General features: G+C 55.7%; 1 long non-coding RNA gene across 1 annotated transcript, besides 2 other annotated features; it reads left to right on the plus strand.

Moving 5' to 3' along the window:
- Nucleotides 7,543–8,043: an enhancer, noted in NCBI's record as "H3K4me1 hESC enhancer chr8:143071812-143072312 (GRCh37/hg19 assembly coordinates)". NCBI's record gives its function as "activates a minimal SCP1, AML or CMV promoter by ChIP-STARR-seq in naive H9 embryonic stem cells {active_cell/tissue: H9 hESC(naive)}" and the evidence as "EXISTENCE:reporter gene assay evidence [ECO:0000049][PMID:30033119]".
- Nucleotides 8,044–8,544: an enhancer, noted in NCBI's record as "H3K4me1 hESC enhancer chr8:143072313-143072813 (GRCh37/hg19 assembly coordinates)". NCBI's record gives its function as "activates a minimal SCP1, AML or CMV promoter by ChIP-STARR-seq in naive H9 embryonic stem cells {active_cell/tissue: H9 hESC(naive)}" and the evidence as "EXISTENCE:reporter gene assay evidence [ECO:0000049][PMID:30033119]".
- Nucleotides 9,171–14,644, plus strand: LOC124902047 (uncharacterized). Its single transcript, XR_007061160.1, has 2 exons — nt 9,171–9,498; nt 14,327–14,644. It is a non-coding gene; the product is annotated as an uncharacterized LOC124902047 (long non-coding RNA).
- The last annotated feature ends 6,731 nt before the right edge of the window (nt 14,645–21,375 follow it).

A 21,375-nucleotide genomic window follows, 5' to 3' on the forward strand; every position in this document is an offset into this window, starting at 1 on the left:
ACCACACTGACCATCCATAGACCACATTGACCATCCATAGACCACACTGACCATCCATAGTCCACACTGGTCATCCATAGACCACACTGACCATCCATAGACCACACTGGCCATCCATAGACCACACTGACCATCCATAGTCCACACTGGCCATCCATAGTCCACACTGGCCATCCATAGACCACACTGACCACCCAGAGTCCACACTGACCATCCATAGACCACATTGACCATCCATAGACCACATTGACCATCCATAGACCACACTGACCATCCATACTCCACACTGATCACCCATAGTCCACACTGACCCTCTGTAGATCACACTGACCATCCATAGATCACACTGACCATCCATAGACCACATCGACCCTCCATAGTCCACATCGACCATCCATAGTCCACACTGACCATCCATAGTCCACACTGATCATCCGTAGTCCACACTGACCCTCTATAGATCACACTGGCCATCCATAGTCCACACTGACCATCCATAGACCACACTGGCCATCCATAGACCACACTGACCATCCATAGTCCACACTGGCCATCCATAGACCACACTGACCACCCAGAGTCCACACCGACCATCCATAGACCACACCGACCATCCATAGACCACATTGACCATCCATAGACCACATTCACATCCATAGACCACACTGACCATCCATAGTCCACACTGATCATCCATAGTCCACACTGACCCTCTTTAGATCACACTGGCCATCCATAGTCCACATTGACCCTCCATAGGCCACACTGACCATCCATAGACCACACTGACCATCCATAGTCCACATTGACCCTCCATAGGCCACACTGACCATCCATAGACCACACTGACCATCCATAGACCACATCGACCATCCATAGTCCACATCAACCATCCATAGTCCACATCGACCATCCATAGTCCACACTGACCATCCATAGTCCACACTGATCATCCGTAGTCCACACTGACCCTCCATAGATCACACTGGCCATCCATAGTCCACACTGACCCTCCATAGACCACACTGGCCATCCATAGACCACACTGGCCATCCATAGACCACACTGACCACCCATAGTCCACACTGACCATCCATAGTCCACACTGACCCTCCATAGACCACACTGACCATCCATAGACCATATTGACCCTCCATAGACCATATTGACCACCCATAGTCCACACTGACCATCCATAGTCCATATTGACCATCCATAGTCCACACTGACCGTCCATAGACCACATTGACCATGCATAGGCCACACTGACTGTCCATAGACCACACTGACCCTCCATAGGCCAAACTGACCATCCATAGATGACATTGACCAACCATAGACCACATTGACCATCCATAGGCCATATTGAAGGTCCATAGTCCACACAGACCCTCCATAGGCCACACTGACCCTCCATAGTTCACACTGACCATCCATAGGCCACATTGACCATCCATAGATCACACTGACCCTCCATAGACTGCACTGACCATCCATATACCACACTGACCATCCATAGACCACATTGACCATTCATAGGTGACATTGACCATCCGTAGACCACATTGACCATCCATAGACCACACTGACCATCCATAGACCACATTGACCATTCATAGGTGACATTGACCATCCATAGACCATATTGACCATCCATAGACCACACTGACCATCCATAGTCCACACCGAACCCTCCATAGGCCACACTGACCATCCATAGACTGCATTGGCCATCCATAGACCACACTGGCTATCTATAGTCCACACTGATTGTCCATAGACCACATTGATCATCCATAGTCCACACTGACCATCCATAGTTCACACTGACCATCCATAGTCCACACTGACCATCCATAGTTCACACTGACCATCCATAGTCCACACTGATCATCCATAGTCCACATTGATCATCCATAGTCCACATTGACCATCCATAGTCCACATTGACCATCCATAGTCCATAATGTTCATCCATAGACCACATTAACAATCCTTAGTTCACACTGGCCATCTATAGTCCATATTGGCCATCCATAGTCCATACTGATCAACCATAGTTCAAAGCCATTGTCTGTTGATTTCTTGTGAAAGGCCTAGCATCTTGGGTTGATCTCATAAATAATGTTCACCTGCAGGTCAGGAGTGTGGGAGGTCTAGTCCCCCAACCTGTGCTAATGTCCGGATTGTGGAGTGAGGCTGTTACTTAACCTGCTGAGAACAGGCAGGCAGCATCTGTAGCCTTACGAGGCAGGGGTGTGTTTTAGGAGCTATCTGGGTCAGAAGTGGGTATAAAAGCTTAAGCAAGTCCAGGGTCTCACCTAATGTGTCCAAGATCTCACAACAAAGAAAAAGTGAGATTCAACCATGTTTAATACCAAAATTCCATGTTTTCACTATGCCAAGTATCTTTTTCAACATAGGGGTGAGCAGGCCAGAAAACCCTTCTTGGTTCCAACTCTGTGAATTGTATCTATCATGAGTAGAGAGGTAGACAGGTGCACACTGCAGCCCAGTGATGCACTGGGGCCACTATTTCATGAATCAACGACTCTGTCCTGGTTCAGGGAAGCCACTCCTATGTCCCTCAACAACCCCAGCTTGCCCGTCTCCTGGACTCATTTCCTGCTTGGCTTCCTGCATCATAGTGTATCCCCTGCTACCTCCCTTCATGCTGTGTTTACTGTGATCTTCTCAAAATACAAGACAAGCATGCTACCCCCACACCTACAGCCAGGGCTCCAGCATCAAGACCACCTCCTTGAGGGCTTCTGAGGCTGCCCTGCCCAGCCCTGGCTGCCTCCAGTGCAAGCCTCATCTTGCACTGCCTCCCTTCCCTGGACGCTGGCACCAAGGCCAGCCCACCCTCAACCGGACGCCTCCTTCTCTTGACCTGTAGCCATGGTGAGCAGCTACGGTTGGGCTGGGGTGGAGAAAGTCTAGAAGAAAATGGAGAGCTCCCTGTGGTTTGGCTGCCTCTGACCAGCCCCTCATCTTCCTCACCCCATCAATCACTCCAGGAAGCACAGCTCGGGGAGGATGATAAACGGAAAACCTGAATCCTCCTGAAAATGAGCTAATATCTCCTAGCCCATCGGGCCAATCACTCTTTGTCAGGCAGGCTGTTAAGTGAGGCACTGAAGAAAGACTCCATCCACCGAGGAGTGGGGAAGGAGGTTTGGTGATGGAGTTGCTCCATGCGCACTGTTCATCTTCACACTGAAATAAACAAGGGAGGGCCGGCTGCTCATGGTCTACTGCAAGGAGATAGGTCTTCCTGGACAGTGCCCTCCCAGGGGCTGGGCGGTGCTGATGCAGGCACCGAGAGAATGCCACATGCTCCTGTTGATGTGGTGGGACCCGGGGGTGGACGCACACCAGGCCTAGGCAGTGCCTCGCGAGGTGAGCCATGACATGGAGAATGCAGAACGTAGAACGCAGAAGTGTCTGCAGAGGATTTTGCATTAAGTACCAGGGAAGGGGTTGCAAGCCTCAGAGGGCCTCAGACCTGAGTCATGGGACTCTACCCATCCCTAACCCATAGGTTGGCTGGGTGCAAGGCAGGAACTCTGTGTGTGTGTGTGTGTGTGTGTGTGTGTGTGTGTTGTTTTAGGTTGTGTATCTACTGGCTGTGTCTACAAGAGGTAGGAGCACCAGCACTCTGGGCTGTTTCCCAACACGTCTTCCTTCCGCTCTGTGGGTTGAGAGGCTGAGGGAAGGGAGAGGCCAGGCTAGACCTGGGCCTTGGCAGGTCAGAGCCTCTCGGAAGGAACAGACTCAAGCTGGACCACGTGTCAGGGCTTAACCCCTGTGACCTCGGGCACCCACAGCCAGCCTGCCCAGGGTCTCATCCAGTTGGACACACCCAAGAGGGTGAGGCATAGGGAGGCAACGGGATCAGCATTCTGGGTCTCTGAGTTCAGGGCTTTGTTAGGGACGTGGAGGTCCCTGGAAAGTGTCCGGTGTGGAGGTCACATGTGGATAGGTTGGGTGGGTGGAGAGGAGATTGAAATTGCAGGTCCCGGCACCCAAGAGGCCAAGGCTTCAGGATTACTCTCTTCTCCACCACGTGGTCCCCCCAAATCCAGCTCCCCCAAAGTCCCCTCCTGAGCGCGCACCTCAGCCCAGCTCCTGAACATCTGCTTCTCTCTCGCTCTGCTCCCAACCCCACCTACCTGTCTCGGGCAGAACCCCTTGCACTTCCCAGCACACTGGAAATGAGGCCACTCGGTGCTTGTGAGGCCTTTCTCAATGAGAGCACCTCCCACCTTGACTTAGGGTTCTATGGATGAATGTGCCTCTCCCAGAGGCCCAGAGCCCAAGAGTGAGGCCACGACTCAGTCATCCTCAATCCTGAGCCTCACTCCAGGGCCAGGGACAGAGGGGTCTCCAGGCTGTAAGGGTCTGAAGAGCAGGCCCCAGGCTCTGTCAGTGGTAGGTGTTCCCACAGGGCTGGGGACCTGGTGTGTGCTCCCAGGTACCTAAGACCTAAGCCTGTCAGGAGGTCAGGAGGTAGGGACAGAGACTCCAGGCTTGGAAGCTGGGTCCACAGGCCCACAGCCAGGCCGGGCACCTGGAGCAATCACATGAGCAAGTTGTCATCACAGGCAGGACCAGGAACGGGGGCAGGAGGACAAGAACGCCAACAGGGAGCTGAGGCTTAAGCCCTGGCAGAGCTGCCTCCTTCCCCACAGGAATCTCCTGCCCAGCCCCGGAACAGCAGAGGCTGGAGCCGAAGGTACTGTATTCACTGTGCTTTCAATTTTGCATATTTTACCATGCTTTGACGAGACACCTTGCTGACCAGGAGAGGCTGCCCCTCCCAGGGCTGACTAGGAGAGGCTGGCCACTCCCCAGGGATGGAAGCTCCCACACAGAGTGCTGTTCTGATGCAGCCGGCCCACCCAGAGCCCAAAGACAACTCACCTGCCATCATCAGGCCCCCGCAGCCCGGGACACTAGCCCCCTGCCCTAAATCACCCAAGGCCAGTTGTGTGTCTACTGGCTGTGTCTGCAAGAGGCTGAGTCACCAACACCTGACCACCCACATTGCCCAGAGCCTACTGAAATGATTCACCCACCAAAATTATTCCAACGAGCCGATCCAGGTCTGCGCACCCAGCCTGCCCCGCACCTGGCCTTCCCTTCAGAGACCACCGTGCAGGCTCGCAGCAGCTTCCCCTCCCAACAGCCATGCTCCCTTTTGTGACCCTGCACAGCTGACACCTGTGGGGTCTTCTGGCTGTCAACACCTGGACCCCTCTCTGTGTTCCTTTCCAGTATAGAAGTCAGACACACAGAATCACTTTCCCAGCCTTGTAGCTAGGATGTACTGCCAGAGTACGAGCCCTGGGAGGCTGGGGGCTGCAGCTCGTACCCCGGCAGTTGCCAGCTCAGAACCCCAGCTGTGGGCACTGCCACCGAGGCCGGAGCAGCCAGCTCTCCTGGGTCACAGCTTCTCTGGACCTCCATGTCCTGGGATATTGGCCTGGGTGGTTGAGTCAGGGACATGTGCCCACATCCTCTCACCTCCCTCTTCTGTGCTGCACTCACTGCCCACCCGTGCTCCCTGCTCTTCTCAGTCTCCAGCTCTTTGCTTTTGCTGCTCCACGCCCCGGGACTCCCTCCCTCCCCTTTCCCACTCTCATCTGCAAGCATCAAGGTGAGGTTTGTTTCCCCAGGCTCAGGCTGAGTTGCCTCCTCCCAGAAGCCTCCTGTGATAACTGTCAGGCCCACATGTCTCCCTGAGCCTCCTGGCATTCCCTGTCTCTCTCCAGCAGGGCCCTTGCCCCTCAGCTGGGAACTAGCGCCCCTGCCGACAGAGACCGCGCAGCACCGGCTCTCCCCTCCCTGCGGGTACCCGGCCATCTGCCGAAGGAGCTAATGGAGCATCGTGGATGGATGCGCGAAGGATGCACGAAGCCGGTGCCAGAGGCTGCTCCTTCCGCTCCCAGCCAAGTGGCCCTCCCACTCGGACTCTCCCAGCTCGCGGGGAGCCAAGCACGATTTTTGGCTGGCCTTGTAGAGGCAACATTCAAAAGCCCAGGCTGCCGTGTGAAATCTCCTGGCTCCTCCTTTGTGATTTTCGGGCTAAAAATAAAATCCCCGGGACCCCGGTGGCTGCCATTGTTGCTGCTATTGAAACGTGATGAGCGCCTGATCAAAATTCTTATGCATTGTTGACAGGGGAGGCAACCCGGCACTTATCTCCCAGTGACTTTAAAAATAGAGCCTCTTCCTTTTCTGCCAGGGCAAAGCAATAATTTAGATAATTGAAACTCTGAAATGAGTTGGAGACGAATCGCTGTGGCTTTGGGCCCTTTTATGAGACTTTTTCTTTGTATGAAAAAGAATGGAATCAGAAAAAGAACGTTTTGCTCACACAAAGACCCTGAGTGGGACGCATCTCGTCAATGTGAAATTGCGCGGCTCCGGGGTCCTGGCTGTCGAGTTGGGGGCTGTTGTGGCTTCTCAGAGCTGCAGACCTCCCTTCTACCCCGGGACAGAGGGGCAGGTGCAGGGCCACACTGAGGGGTGAGCTGTCTGTGCTGGGAAGAGGGGGTCTCCTGGATAAGCCGTTCCTTCTCTACCCTCCACTGCTTCTTCTCGTGTTGGGAGGCCGGCGGCCCCTCCTGCAAGCACCCACCGTCTCAGGGAGAGATCCCCCTCTCTCAGCCAGCAGCCCCTTCCTTGGGGAAGCCCCCCACTCCTCATGCGGAATCTGGATCCTACTCGCCAGAAGGTGGAAACAGGAATGTTATTTCATCTCTCTTTCTCCTCCATCAAGGCAACCTGCAAAGGCCTCTCTGTTGCCACTGCCAGCACCACCCACCACCCTCTCCCCTCCAGGGAGCACAGCAGCCTCCTCCCTGGACTCCCGGCTGCCCTGACCATATCCCCCCTGAACCAGACTCTTTTTTTCCTCTCTGCCCCAATGGCCAGACTGATCTTTACAAAGCATACACTGAGAGGTGCCATTCTCTCGCTCCTGGTCTTGAATGACTGCCCATCACCCGGGAACACAGTGCACCCTCTCCAGGGCCCCGCGCAGCCTGGCACCCACACCCTCCCAGCCACCCCAGCCACCCCTGCCCTGAGGCCCTTTCACTGTAAGAACAGGAATCTTCTGTGCTGTCCCGATTCCTCTAACGGACATCCCCTCAGGGTCACCAGAGAAAATACAGAATGCCCAGTTAAATTTGAACCTCTCCTTTTTAAAAATTAATTTAATTTTTAAAGGTAGAGACAAGGTCTTGCTGTGTCACCCAGACAGGGTGTAGTGGTGTGATCACAGCTCACTGAAGTCTCCAAATCCTGGGCTCAAGCGATCTTCCTGCCTCACCCTCCAGGACTTCAGGTATGCACCAGCACACCCAGCTCATTTTTTAATTTTAATTTTTGTAGAGACAGGGTCTTGCTATGTTGTCCAGGCTGGTCTTAAACTCCTAGTCTCAAGTGATCCTCCTGCCTTGGCTTCTCAAAGTGCTGGATCACAGGCATGAGCCACCACACCCAGCCACTAAATCTGACTTTCTGACAATGTTTGAGTATAAATATACTCAAATAAACTATTCTCAAACAATGTTTGAGTATAAATATGTCCCAAATGGAAACATTCTTAAGACGTTATACTCAAAGACCATGTGCAAGACATAGGGCCCTACCTAGATGACTCCAGCTCATAGATGTCCCAGCAGCTGTCCCAATGCATCACCCAGCTGTCCTGCATGGGGGCATCTGATGTCCCCTAAAGCTAGATGTGCCCCATATGGAACTCCTGACTTTCCTCCCACCTCACAGGCCCTTCCCTTCACATACACGCTCACCCTTGGACGCTCCGGGATCTTCGCATGGGAGAAGCTCGGGAAGACGTCTGCAGGAAGGGGGCCTGGAGCCGTGTCCCGAAACAGGATTTGCACCAGACGTGAGGTGCGAGTTGAATGGCTGCCTCTTTGGCTTTGTGCAGAGCTGACTGACTCATGACGGGGCTGGGCTGCTCTGCTGGGTCCCCCTGTGCTTCGCCTTCACTGGACTGAGGGCTGCCCAACGGCTGGTGAAACGTCATTTCTGTGATCACGTGGGTGATTCCAGAGGAGATTGATTAGTATGTGTTCGTGGATGGAGTGGAGATGACCCGTCTCCACCAAAGGGGGTGGGCAGCATCTGACCATCCACAGCACGAACAGAGCTGGACCCCACCGTGGGCTTCCTGGGGGTTCCAGCCTGCAGACAGCAGATCAGGGCCTCCTCAGCCTCCACGGTCACGGGAGACAATTCCCACGACACACCTCCTCTTACATGTCTCTCTCTCCATATGTAATTTGTTCTGCCTCTCTGAGGAGCTATGACGAATACAGCTCCCCGGGGCTAACATGGACCCCACCCTTCTTACTGTCCTTCCAAACTCCCCCATGCATCCTTCCCCATGCCAGGAAATGGGCTCACGCTCAGCCTCAGGCCAGAGGCCCAGGGCCATGAGTAAGGCAAGAAAGGAGATTCTCCTGTGGCCAGCCACATCCTGTCAGCCTCCCAGGTCACCTGCAGGTCCTGCTGACTCCTGCCTCTCCACCTGACGCACTTCACCCCCTAATTCTCTCCCTCTACCTGAGGCACCTTCATCCCCTATTTCTCTCCCTCTGCCTATGCATCTTCTTTCGCTAATTCTCCCTCTCTCCACCTGAGGCGTCCTCACCTCCCCCTCTGTCTACCTGAGACATTCTCCGGCCTCCTGATCATGGTCTTCCCTAGGTTGGGTGGGAGGAAATGGCAGAGTGCTAACCCACATGACGGTGGCTGGTAGCCTGAGAACTCCGTTGGGAAAGTGCCAGGGCCGGTTCTCCACAATCCCAGAGGATCCTTCTAACAGGTAACAGCCTAGTGACAGGGCTCTGCTGTCTTCTCTCTCCAGGGTCTCACTTCCCAACCCCACAGTGCCTCTGGAACTCCTCCCAAGCAGAACACCTGCCCACAATCCTGTCTCAGGTTTGCTGTGGGGGACCCTGGGCAGGCATCTACAAGTCTTGTCTCTCCTTACCACCGCCAGCATCTTACCTGCGAATCCCTGTCCCTCTGCTGTCTTCCCACTTCTCCCAGCTCCACTGTCTCCATGCACGCCCCTCCCCGGGGTTGTGACATCATCCCTAGCATCTCCAGCTGGCCCCTCACTCACTCCACCCACTCTCCCAGCAGCCAGAGTCCTCTGAAACACAGGCCATCGATGACTTCCTCTGCCCTGGACTTGTACCCAAGCTCCTTACCAGACCCCCAGGACCTGGCTTTGCCCACCTCTCTGCTGGAACCCCTCTCTGCCCTGGGGCATTGGCACATGCCACCCCCACGACCTGGGCCCATGCTTCTGGGATAGCTAGGTCGGACCAGCCTTCAGGCCTCGTACCCATGTCCACCTTGGCACGGCCTCCCCACTGCCCCCTCGTTAGCCTATCTCCTTCCACACGGTAGCCGACATGGCACTGACTCCAGCGTGCCACCACACATCAGGTGGGTGCATATGCATGTGCGGCCTTGTGCGTGGAGGGTGCCCTCACCAGACCGTGAGCTTCCCAGGGCAGGCTTCTGTGCATCTTGTTCACCTTTACATCCCAGCACCTGGACGGTGTCCAGCAGGGAAGGGGTGTCTGGCCTAAATGTGAGAGTCAGGGATAGAGAGAGCAGCAGGCCTGCCTGGATCAGGTCAGGGTGGAGTTCCAGGAGAGTGTGCCAGGGCCACCAGCTCTGCAGACCACGGTCGGGGCAGCTCTCCTGCAGCTGGGACTCCTGGCCCAGGCTGGAATCCTGCCTTCTCAGGCTAGGGAGCACCCAAGAAAGAGCCTGGATGGGGACTCAGAGGGGAAGGGATCCTCCCCTTCCCTTCCTTGAGCCTCAGAGTCACAAGCTGGACAGCGGAAGGTGATGATCTTGTGAAATGACCATTGGACAGTCCTCTTGCTGTGCCCAGAGCCACACCCAGCCCTGGCCTTCTGTTCCAGGTGGAGGCCCTAGCGCTTCGTTTCTGACCTTTTGTTTGTTTTCATACACTTTATTTTTAGGGCAGTTTTAGGTTCACAGCAAAATTAAGCAAAAAGTCAGAGATTCCCCACATACCTTCCACCCCACATATGCACAGCCTCCCCTCTCTCAATACCCTGCCCGAGTGGTGTGAGTATCACGACCGATGAGCCTGCAGTGAGGCGTCGCCCTCGCTCTGAGCCTGCAGCCTCCATCAGGGCTCACTCTGGCTGGTGCGTGCTCTGTGGGTCTGCACAAATGCATGGGACTTGTTTCCGCCATTGTCATGTCGAACAGAGCAGTGTCACTGCCCTAAAAATCCTCTGGGCTCCCTGATTCGTCCCTCCCCCAGCCCCTGGCAGCCACTGATCCTTTCATCTTCTCCGCTGTTTCGCCTCTTCCAGAATGTCCTAGAGTCGGAATCTTACCATATGTGGCCTTTTGGGAGTGGCTTCTTTCCCTTAGTCAGATGCACCATGTTGGGCTCTGTTTCTAGTGGTCCAGGGCCTCAACTGTGTGTCTGCCGTGGTGGATTGGGCGTGAGGGCTGGGCTGGCCCACACCACCTCCCTGGCTGCCTTATCTCCTGTTGACAGAACTTGGTTCTCACCTGTTGGCCCAGTCCCTTGCTGTTCTGGGATTCCGCCTCAGTCCCCTCCTCTGGGGCTCATCCTGGGAGGATCTGATCTGGGCTGCCATCTTGTTCTCAGTCCTGCCTGGGATCCACAAGTCTCTGCTGCTGGCCGCTGTGAAGGGACAAAATGTCCAGCCTCATAGCCCCTGGGTGCACCTGCTGGGAGCCTTGGCCCAAGAGCACCCCTCCCTGCCTAAGATAATGGGTCAGGGTCACAGCACTGGCCATGGCAGCTTTCGTGAGGCTGCAGAAGTGACTTCGCCCCACACCCTCCCCCAGCCCTTCCCCCAACCCCAGAGAGGGGAAGCGTATGGTCCACACTTGGGCCAGCTCAGTCTCCTATAGCCATCACAGCTACAACCCTCCTATCTTCCTTCTCCCCAAAATGTCCCCATGAGATAACAGAATAATAAACAACATTTCATTTAATACTCAAATAATTCTTATGAGGAACAGTATATTGTTCACAGATGGGAAAATATGTAAATTGAGGGCTAGAAGATCAAGCCACCTGCCCAAGATTTTGCAGCTGCTAAGTGGCAGAGCTGAGTGTCAGCTCAGCTTGGGAAGCCCAGCTGTAAACCCTGTCCTGACCATGCATGGGCTGGGCTTACATCCCACCTCAGTTACCCTGCACTTCCAGTGAGACCCTGGAAACACCAGCTAGGCATCTCGACTTCAGCCTCCTTGATTGTCCATTAGAAACCATGATAACATGGGGCCACGAGGATAAATTACATAATTCATGAAAACATGTGGTACAAAATAAACAAAAATGAATCTATTCCTCCATCATCTGCCCACCCACCATCCATCCATCCGTTCATTCACACACCATCCATCCACACACCCACCCATCCATCCACACACCCAATTGTCCACACATCTACCCACCATCCACCCATCCACCCACTATCCACTCATCCACCCATCCATCCACCCATCCACCCACCATCTACCCGTGTACCTATCCATTCATCCAACCCCAACCCACCCATTATCCATGCATCCATTCATCCCCTCACTCACACATCCATCCATCCACCCACCCATCCACCATCCACTCACCCCCCCACCCATCCACCCATCCATTCATCCATCTCCAGTCCACCCACTATCCATCCATCCATTCATCCCCTCACTCACACATCCACCCATCCACCCATCCATTCATCCATCCCCAGTCCACCCTATCCATCCATCCATTCATCCCCTCACTCACACATTCATCCATCCATCCATTCATCTATCCCCAGTCCACCCACTATCCATCCATCCATTCATCCCCTCATTCACAATCCATCCATCCACCCATCCACCCACCCACCCACCCATCCATTCATCCATCCCCAGTCCACCCACTATCCATCCATCCATTCATCCCCTCACTCACACACCCATCCGTCCATCCATCCATCCATCCATTCATCTATCCCCAGTCCGCCCACTATCCATCCATCCATCCGTCACCACCCATCCTTCTCCCCTTCCTTCATTCCTTCACCAGTGCTAATGAATCAGAGCTAGACTAGTTTGTGCTGAGGGTTGTGACAGGCCAGGATTCAAAGCCACCCCCACACTTGTTTCCACAGCCTTGCACTGTGGATGGATGCAGGGAGGAGTGTGTCATGGGGATTCCCAGGTGAGAGGTCCTGAGACCAGGATAGTTTTTGTCCTTGGTGACTGTGGTGGATGTCAATGCTTGTCACTGGTTCCAAGGTCCCCTCCCCTTCTAAGCACAAAGGAGACCTCCCTCTGTCTCCCTCTTGGTGAGGTGGAGCCATGTGCTGGCTGTAGCCAAGGAGCACTGTGCAGAAAGGATGTGCTCCTGGCAGCATCCACGTTAACTTGCTGGTGCACCATGCCCTCCTCTGGAGGTGCAGACTTTCGGGGTGCAGCCCTCCTGCCAGCCTGTCCCTGAGTGGCTCTGGTGAGCCATGCACCCTGCTGACCTATGAGGGCATGAGAGGAAACCGCTATGGCTTAAGCCATGGAGATGTGGGGTTGTTGTCACATGCAGAGCTCAGCCCTTCATGATCAACACCGTGACTCTCACTTCCTTCCCAGGGTCTTCACGTCCTCCTCACCCTGTAGTCTCTGAGGGCTGCCAGAAGAAATGACCACAGACTTGGTGGCTTAAAGCCACAGAGGTGTATTCCCTCCTGGATTCTGAGGCTGGAAGTCTGAAGTGCAGTTGTGGGCAAGGTGGTTCCTTGGAGCCCCTGAGGAAGGATGTGTTCCAGGCCTCTCTTCCAGCCTCTGGTGGTCGCAGGTGACTGCCTTGGCGTCCCCAGCTTGTGGCTGCCTCACTCCAACTTCAGCTTCTATCTTCACATAGCCTTTTTCTCCCTCCACGTCGCTGTCTCTGTGTCTCTTCTCCTTTCTTTTTAACGACACCAGTTATTGGGCGTAGGGCCCATCCTCATCCTGTGTGACCCCATCTTAACTTACATCTGTAATGTGACCCTATTTTTAAATAAGGTCACATTTATTTTGAGGTTCTAGGTGGACATGAATTTTGGGGGGGGCACTATTTGATCCGACACCCCCACCCCCATGCTTAGCTCAAGTCTGCAAGCATTTGGAGAAGAGCCACTGTGTGCCAGGCAGCACGGTGCATTTGCTGAGGAGACACAGATGAAGCCTTCCACAGCAGGGGAAGCTTTGCAGGTGATGGACTCGGATGAGTCCAGGCTGATGGCAGAGGCAGAAGAGACAGGCTCGATGCAACGTAGAGGGTGCAATGAGAGCAGAACTGGCCCTGGGGTCCCACCAGCTGGTCTGAGTGCCCCTGGGATACCTACAGCACCTGTCTTTTCCGCCTGCAGCACCTCGTTCAGGGCTAGAGCCTGGTGGTTGTTCCATAAGTGCTGCTGGAATCCCTCACCCGGCTCACACGTGGCGCCTGCCTGTCTCTTGCCATGCTCACCATCGCAGAGACCATCTGTGAGTGCTAACGGGCCAGGCTGGCATGGCGGCAGCCCAACTGGAGAAGCTCGAGGTCTGCTCAGCAATGCTGGCCCAGGCCTTTGGCTCCCATGAGCTCCATGGCTCTCAACGGCACCCACCGGGCCCATCCATCATGCCAAATTCCCCGTGCATGTGTCAGCCCCGCTGAGCATGAAATTGCACGAAACTTACAGCTTCCTCTGGCTTCCAACCTGATTTTCTGATGGCAGCTTCAACTCACCAAGCGCTCTCCACAGGCCAGGGCAACGGGTGGCTGCCCCTCCCCCACACAGAGTGCACCATTCTGTGGGCCCCTAGGAATCCTCAGGGACCTCCCCTCCAGGGGCGTCGCTTCCCCTCCCAGAAGAGGTGCTCAGCCCCTTCCTGTCCAAGCCTTAGAGAATGCAGCTTGACTCCAAGGCTGCCCAAACTATTCCTGAAGCCCAAGGTGCAGTTCTAGGACCCACAGTTTAAGAGGGGGCCTTGACAAACAGGGCGTTGTGAAGACTTTGACCAGGATGGCAAAGGGTCCATGAAACAAGCCTGGTGGATAAGGACAGGTTGGAGGGAGCCGCATCTCCAGGCAGATGTTGTCGGGCCTGAGGGAGGGAGGAAGGGGCTAGGACCGCTTCGGTTATGTGTACTGCTGGCCACGTGTTTGTGTTTGAGCAGCAGAATACAACAGGCTGTCACTGCACTAACAGAACTAACGGAAACCACCTGGACCTCAACTGCACAGGGATTCTTAGAGGGGAAAGAAGAAGGCCAATCCTGAGGGTTCTGAGGAAGGAACCGCCACAAAAGGGTGGATGTTACAGAGACCAGCATGAAGCATCCACCAGCGACATGGGCAGTGATGCTGGTAATGAGCTCACCATCGGGAAAGCACGCAAGAAGAGCCCAGGATACACAGGCCCTCGGCATCCATGTCATGCTGCGATGCATCCCATAGAGCTCAGCCTTCCTGGTTCTATTCCTCAGGAACTCGTGACTATTTAGATGAGTTCTCAGCTTTTATTCTCAGTTAATAAACTGAATTTTCCATCAGTCAATCAAACGAAAGTCTTGGGTTTCCACTTAGAGCTCCTGGGGGGCTTTCTTGCTTGGGCTCATGTCCTTGAGGTCTTTCCTGTGGCAAAACTCCAGGCTCCCTCCACCCCTTTCCCTGTCCCTTCCCAAGGGACAACGAGGGGTAGTGCTGAGGTCAGATCTGGGAGAAGGTGCTCTCTTTAGAGCCTCCTGTCCCCCTGATGTTTGCATGCTCCACGGCTCCAAGGGTCCTTGGGGACAAGGTAGTCATCTGCAGGGTGTGTGGGCTCATAGAAGCCCACCATCCACCCACCTGCCCTTCCAAGCTTGCGGCTTCAAGGAGCTCCATCAGCACTGAAGCCAACATTCCCGCTTCCCCATGTCTGCTCCTCTGCCTCTGGCTCACTCCTCCGGGACCTCTGAGTGAGGAGGAGAAGGAGCTGCCTGGCCCTCGGTCCACATCCTCCACAGCTGTCGAGAAGCAGCACAGCCCAGCACAACAGAGAGCACAGCAGAGCACAGCACAGCACAGCAGAGAGCACAGCACAGCAGAGAGCACAGCACAGCAGGGAGCACAGCAGAGCACAGCAGAGAGCACAGCAGAGCACAGCAGAGAGCACAGCAGAGCAGAGAGCACAGCAGAGAGCACAGCACAGCAGAGCATAGCACAGCACAGCACAGCAGAGAGCACAGCAGAGAGCACAGCACAGCACAGCAGAGCCCAGCAGAGCAGAGCAGAGAGCACAGCAGAGCTCAGCACAGCACAGCAGAGAGCACAGCACAGCCCAGCAGAGCACAGCACAGCAGAGCCCAGCAGAGCACAGCAGAGAGCACAGCAGAGCCACTGGCGTGGCCACAGCAGAGAGCACAGCAGCAGCCTCGGCCCTGGCACCTACAGGCTGTGTGATCTCAGCAAAGAAATGAACATCTCTGAGTCTACTTCCTAAGCTACAAATAGGGCATAATAACAGGAACCAGGCCCAGAATGAGGATTAAATGAAGATTCATTTGGCTGAGTGTCTGGCTTTAACGGAAACCATTTCTACCCAGAAGATGCCTCAAGACGGACCCCAGGCACTGCTCCTGCTTCTGGCCCCCATGGCTCCCAGTGACACCGAGCTTCATCCAAGCCCCTCAGCCTGGGACTCAGACCCTCTGGGTGGGGCCTGGCTGGCTGTCACATGGCTCCCCCTACAGCTCCCAGGGCCCAGGCCAGCTCCACCTCCAGGCTTGCTCCAAGTCCTTCTGGGTCGAGTGAGTGTCTCCTCCCCAGACGCCATGTGGCTCTCTGTGGCAAGAGCTGCCAGTGCCCGCTGGCCCGTGCATGAGTGGCCTGTGGCTGCCAAAACACGCGACCACAAACTGGGTGGCTTTAAACTACAGACGTTGATTCCCTCGGCTCTGGAGGCTGGAAGTCTAACATCCAGGTGCCAGGAGGGCCACACTCTCTCCAAAGGCTTGAGGGCAGGCTTCCTCCTGCCTCTTCCAGCTTCTGGTGGCTCCAGGTACTCCTTGCCTCGTGGCCGCATCCTCCAATCTCTGCCTCCGTCTCCACATGGCCCTCTCTTTCCTTCTTAATCAATTACAGCTACAAAGACCCTTTTTCCAGATAAGGCCCAGGCACAGATTCTGAGGATTAGGATGTGGACATGTTTTCCTGGGGGCCCCATTCAGCCCATAACACTCTCCCCATCCTTATCCTCTCTGCTCCCCTCAACTCCCATCCCCTGTATCTGCATCTTTCTGCACGAGGCTTTCTTCCAGCCAGAACCACTTTGCAGACATGCCTGGGAGAGACACCCCCAGGGAGCTCCCCTCAGCCACAACTCAGGGTGGGGTGCGTACACACCCCAGCTCCCTCCCTCACTCCTCAGTGGGAGATTCCCCAGCCACCTCGTGCTCAGCACTGCTGTCCGGTAGCATTCCCTGTGGGGTGGAACCCCCGGCCCCCACATGACTGGCGACACAGCTTACCCTTGCTGCCCGCCGCTCCTTTCTTGCCTCCCTTACCCACTTCGCTACCTGCATTTCCTGATGTCACTTCCTAAATAAACGACCCCAACTTGAACCCATGCCATGCAGCCCGCTTCTGGGGGAACCCAAACTGGGCCCCTCTCCTGCAGTGCCCAGACCCTCCCAGCTGGTATTGTGTTTATGCACACACCTCACCCACCCTCGCAGATGGGGTCCCATGTGCCATCGGTGTGGGGTCAGGTCCCTGGCATGTAGTCGTGTTACCTGGCATGGGGTCATGCACCTGTCATGCGGCCATGCTACGGTCTGCTGGTCTTTCCAGGACAGCCCATCCGAGACAGCACCCAGGACCCAGGGGACCCTGCAGACCAGGATATACACGCATTTAACCACCATGACACTCCACCCAAGGGGAGCTCTTGGGAAGGCTATTCTAAACACCCACCAGCCAGCCGTGGACCCCCATTCATGATCACAGTGCCATAAACGGCTTGTGTGACAGCCCCTGGGGAGCAGCCAGACAGGAGCCAGCCTGCCTGTGTCTCTAGAACATCAGGACAGTGACACCCTGGAGCCCCAGCTCTCCATCCTGGGAGCCGTTGACACCTGGGCACCTGCAGCAGGACAATGTCCTTTCATTTGCTGCTCAACCGTGTCTCCCGGGAGCCTGAGAAATGTGCTCTGACAAGCATCAACAGCACGCTCTGTGTCACACAGTGAGACGCAGAGATGAGTAAGACCCAGTACCTGGCACGGTCCAGGGCTGGGGAAGGGATGGCAAATAAGTGAACATCATCCATGACTAAGAGTGCCACCATTTCACGGGGGCCCAGCAAAAGGAGAGGCTAACTCAGCGTGGGGGCCCCAGCCTGGCGGACCCTGGCAGCTGCAGAAATGAGTGCTGAGGGGATCAGCCACGGGTCCTCACATGCTGGAGATGGTCAGCAGGCACTGGGTGAGCGGCTGTGCGTCACCAGCTCAGCTGGTTGGGAGCTGTCCCTACAGCCCAGGACAGACAAAGAGGGCAGAGGTCTGCAGAGGGGCAGGAGCCAAATATAGCACCAGGCAGGGCTGGGGCTGAGGAAGTGGGTGAGCAGACAGAGGGAGTGGTGATGTCTGCTGGGGGGCTTGTTTTTATGCCTGAGGCTCCCTCTGTGTGAAGGGGACCCCACCGAGGCAGCAACCCCAGCCTCAGCCCCTCCCGAAGAGGATCAGTGTGCATCTGGCGGGTGCGCTGGGGAATAAATGGGGCTTCCCTCGGAGGCGAGGCCCCGTAGGCAGCCTGCACGCTCCACTGCTCCTCCAGGGGCTTCTCCGATGTGTCGGGGGGTGCTGTCAATGCTGGGGGCCCTCATTCTGGGGGCGTGCTGTCACTGCTGGGAGTCCCTCATTCATTTGTCAGCCAAGGGGCCAGGTAGTGGTCCCCTTGGCTGACAAACCCAAAGCCACATCCTCCAGTACTGAAGGTGATATTTGGGGGCCAACCTGTCACTGCATTTCAAAATCTTTTCAATTTCTCAGGACCTGGGAAGGAAGAGGGGTGCTCTTGGTTGGGTCCTCTTAGGGACCCCAGCATTTGGTTTATTTATCAGGACTATTAAGAAATGACAAGGGAAGAAGGTATTGGGACGGGGATAAACGTGCCCAGGGAGGGCTCCGGTAAGGACCAGGCAGGAGGGACCCAGGTTCTGCATCCCCGGTTGGCTCGGCCATGGTGTTCTGGATGTCTCCAAGGCTCCTCTGAGGTCTCCTGGCTCCCACCATGTTCCTCATTCTGCAGACAGGAGGTGTTGCTCCCCAGCACTGCCCGGGCAGTCAATCAAGGCAATCAATCAAGGCAGGCGCTCTACCTGTTCCCCGGGTGCATCCCCACCTATCACCAGGGGACACGGGAAGGCCAGGCGGCCAGACCGGAGCTGACGTCCTGCAGCAGCGTCGACACAGGACGAGGGGCTCTCGGAGGCAGGGGACTTGCCCTCTGGAGGAGTGGGTGGGATGCAGGCCTCCGTGGCCTCCCTGGAGCGGCCTGGCCTCCAGCTCTCAGACACCCTGCTTGCCTGCCTGCCTGACCTTTCTGCAGCCTCACTTTCCTTTCTCCCTTGTGCTGCCTCCTGGGATTACAATCTCAATAAAAGTGGGCGAGCGTGCTTTGATTTCCAGGGAGTCAGGCTTCAGCGTGGAGGACAGGCTATCATGGGGGCCGCTTTGTTCACAGGCCGGGGCTGCTTTGATGGGGCTGGCCTGGGCTTAAGAAAGCTGTGCAGCCTCAGGAAGGTGCGGGGCCTTGCTCCTCCTACCCCCTCAGAGGCCGTCAGGCACAGGCCTCAGCAGGCCCAAGCAGCGCCGGGCACAGGCAGCTGTGGCTGCACCCCAGAAGGGGTACACAGTGTACCCAGAAGGGCCCACAGACAGTCACCTGGGCAGGTGCCTCAGCAGGCAGGCCCTGCTGGGAGGAACGCAGAAAACCCTGCAGCTTCTGCAACGCGGGCGGCAGAGGCCCCGAGGGTTCTCGACTTACACAGTCGGTGCCTGGCTTGCTGGGAGCAGACCCACCTCAGACCCAGGTTTCCCAGACCTAAGCCCCTAAAAACAGCGGGGGCTGCAGCCCTGGGTCACATGTGGTGCCTGGGCTCTCTTGCAGCCTCTGGGCGGGCTGTGTGCTCCCAGCAACTGGAGCCTTCAGGATGGGAGCACGGGAGAGGGTGTCTAGCTGTGGATTCAGTGACCTCAGAGTCTCTTTTGATTCATTTCAGAGCCTTCCAAAAAGGGCAAAATGCAGAGTGTCTCTCAGCAGCCAGAAGAAAAGGGGAGGAGCAGCCCATCGCCTGGTGTGGGGAGCATGGGCTGCAGGAAATGGGCGGGGCCTCTTGGGTGGGCGGGGCTACAGAGAGTGGGCGTGACTTTCTCCAGGACATGGACCAGGTTATGGATTTTGCCCAGTGGGGGTGGGAGCAAACCCAGTGGAACTCCACATTCCCCGCTCTGGGCCCTTCTCTGGCCATTGTCCACGGAGGTGAGCAGGGTGCCTGAGTTGTGTGTACCCTAGCAAGTGGCAGCTGACATCGGAGCCAGGCTCTGTTCTGCGCTCTTCTCTCCTCGGCCACTGCTGGGTCAGTGCTGCCTCTGACCGGCAGCACTGGTGGCTCAGAAAACAGAGTGGAAAGAGGCCTTGAGTGAGAAGCCGAGGGTGCAGGGCCCAGAAAAGGGCCTGGGGACCACAGCATCCAGACACTGGGCAAACGACCAGACACCAGCTGCTCCAGATTCCGATCAATGGCACTTCCACCTAATCCATCGTCAAAGTTATAGGAGTCTCATAAGTGGTCCGGGAGCGAGTGGCCTCCCAGAGGGCGCTCCTGAGGCAACGATGCATGACATTAAAACAATTGCCTTGACCATCCTCTGAGCACTGCTGTGACCTCTCCCCAAAGCCAGAACCGCAGCCCCCAGCCGCCTCCTCCTCTGGCCCTCTCTGCCTGTGCCCTGCCCGGCTCACCCTTCAGCCTGAAGCCACTTGGAAGAAACCCTGCTGGAGGCTGGCTGAGCTGGGGCAGGACGTCCTGAGATGGCCCCTGGAGGGAGCAAACGTGGCCAGCGGGGCTGCTGTGGCTGGTGGCGCTGCAGTCCACAAGTGCAAGCCAGCAACACAAGTCAGGTCCCGACCCTGCTGTGCCAGAGAGACTGGCAGCATCGGGCAGGGACTCAGCCTCCCTGGATCTCTCTTTCTTCCTGTGCAGGATAGAGACCACCCAAAGGGGGACTGGGGCAGGACAATGAAATGCAGGAGGCGTGGCTCCCAGAGCCCAGGGTGCTGTGCACACCTAAAGGCTGAGTCCAGCGCTTCTTTCCTTCACTAGGTGCTGTGGCTCCCTGGGACTGATGAATCGGGAAGTCTCCAGGAGGAGGTCAGGACTCTGCAGAGGTGGTTCCTAAGCCTCAACTCACTGTGTCTGGAGATGGGCTCTGAGCTTGGTGTTGTCCCCACTGTGAAGTGACTTGGGGTCACCAGAGGCTAATGGACCAGTGCAGAGTTGCACGGCATGTGCAGGGTGTGCCTGGGGATTGCAACCAGGCGTGTCTTACCCCACAGCCAATGTGGAGCCTGTGTGTGCGTCTTGGAGGGCAGCATGCTTAGGAGGGATTTATGCCATGCGCCTTCTCACAGGAAACTTTCTCCCACAGCGTGGACATCTTTGAGATTATAGTTTTGCAAAAGACAGCATGACATTCTTCAAATGGATGTTCATATTATATCCCTCTATAAAAGCCGGGGACATAACACTAAATCACAGCCGTGGGAAGGAAGCATTGGAGCTGGGCTGACACTCTGCACGCACATCTCCTTCTGGTGTTTTAGCCTAACCCTGGGACCACATCATTAATGCCGTGTTTAATGTCCCGGGTCTGGGGATATAAAAACAACCCGTGCTATGTTTGAGAACATTTACTAAGAGGTAAGGGGCTTCCGCGTTCTGTTTGATAAGTGCCTGGTTTATTTTATATGGAAATAAAAGAAAACTTTTTTTTTTCCCAGAACCATTCTGTCCAACCCGGCCGCAGCCCGTATGCATGTGTGAGGACACATTTCATCTTCAGCACCAGATGTGGGGGTGTGGAGCACACTGCTGTTGAAAGGAAAACAAATCATTCATTTATCTCTGTGTTCATTCATTCCATAAATATTTGCTGAACACTAAGTGGGTGTTGGGGACACAGCCATGAAATAGATGGACGTGGACTCAATCCTCATGGCAGCTGCAGAGTGCAGTCGGGGAGCCTCTCCTA

Source organism: Homo sapiens, chromosome 8, assembly GCF_000001405.40.
Source record: "Homo sapiens chromosome 8, GRCh38.p14 Primary Assembly".
Taxonomy (NCBI): Eukaryota; Metazoa; Chordata; class Mammalia; order Primates; family Hominidae; genus Homo; species Homo sapiens.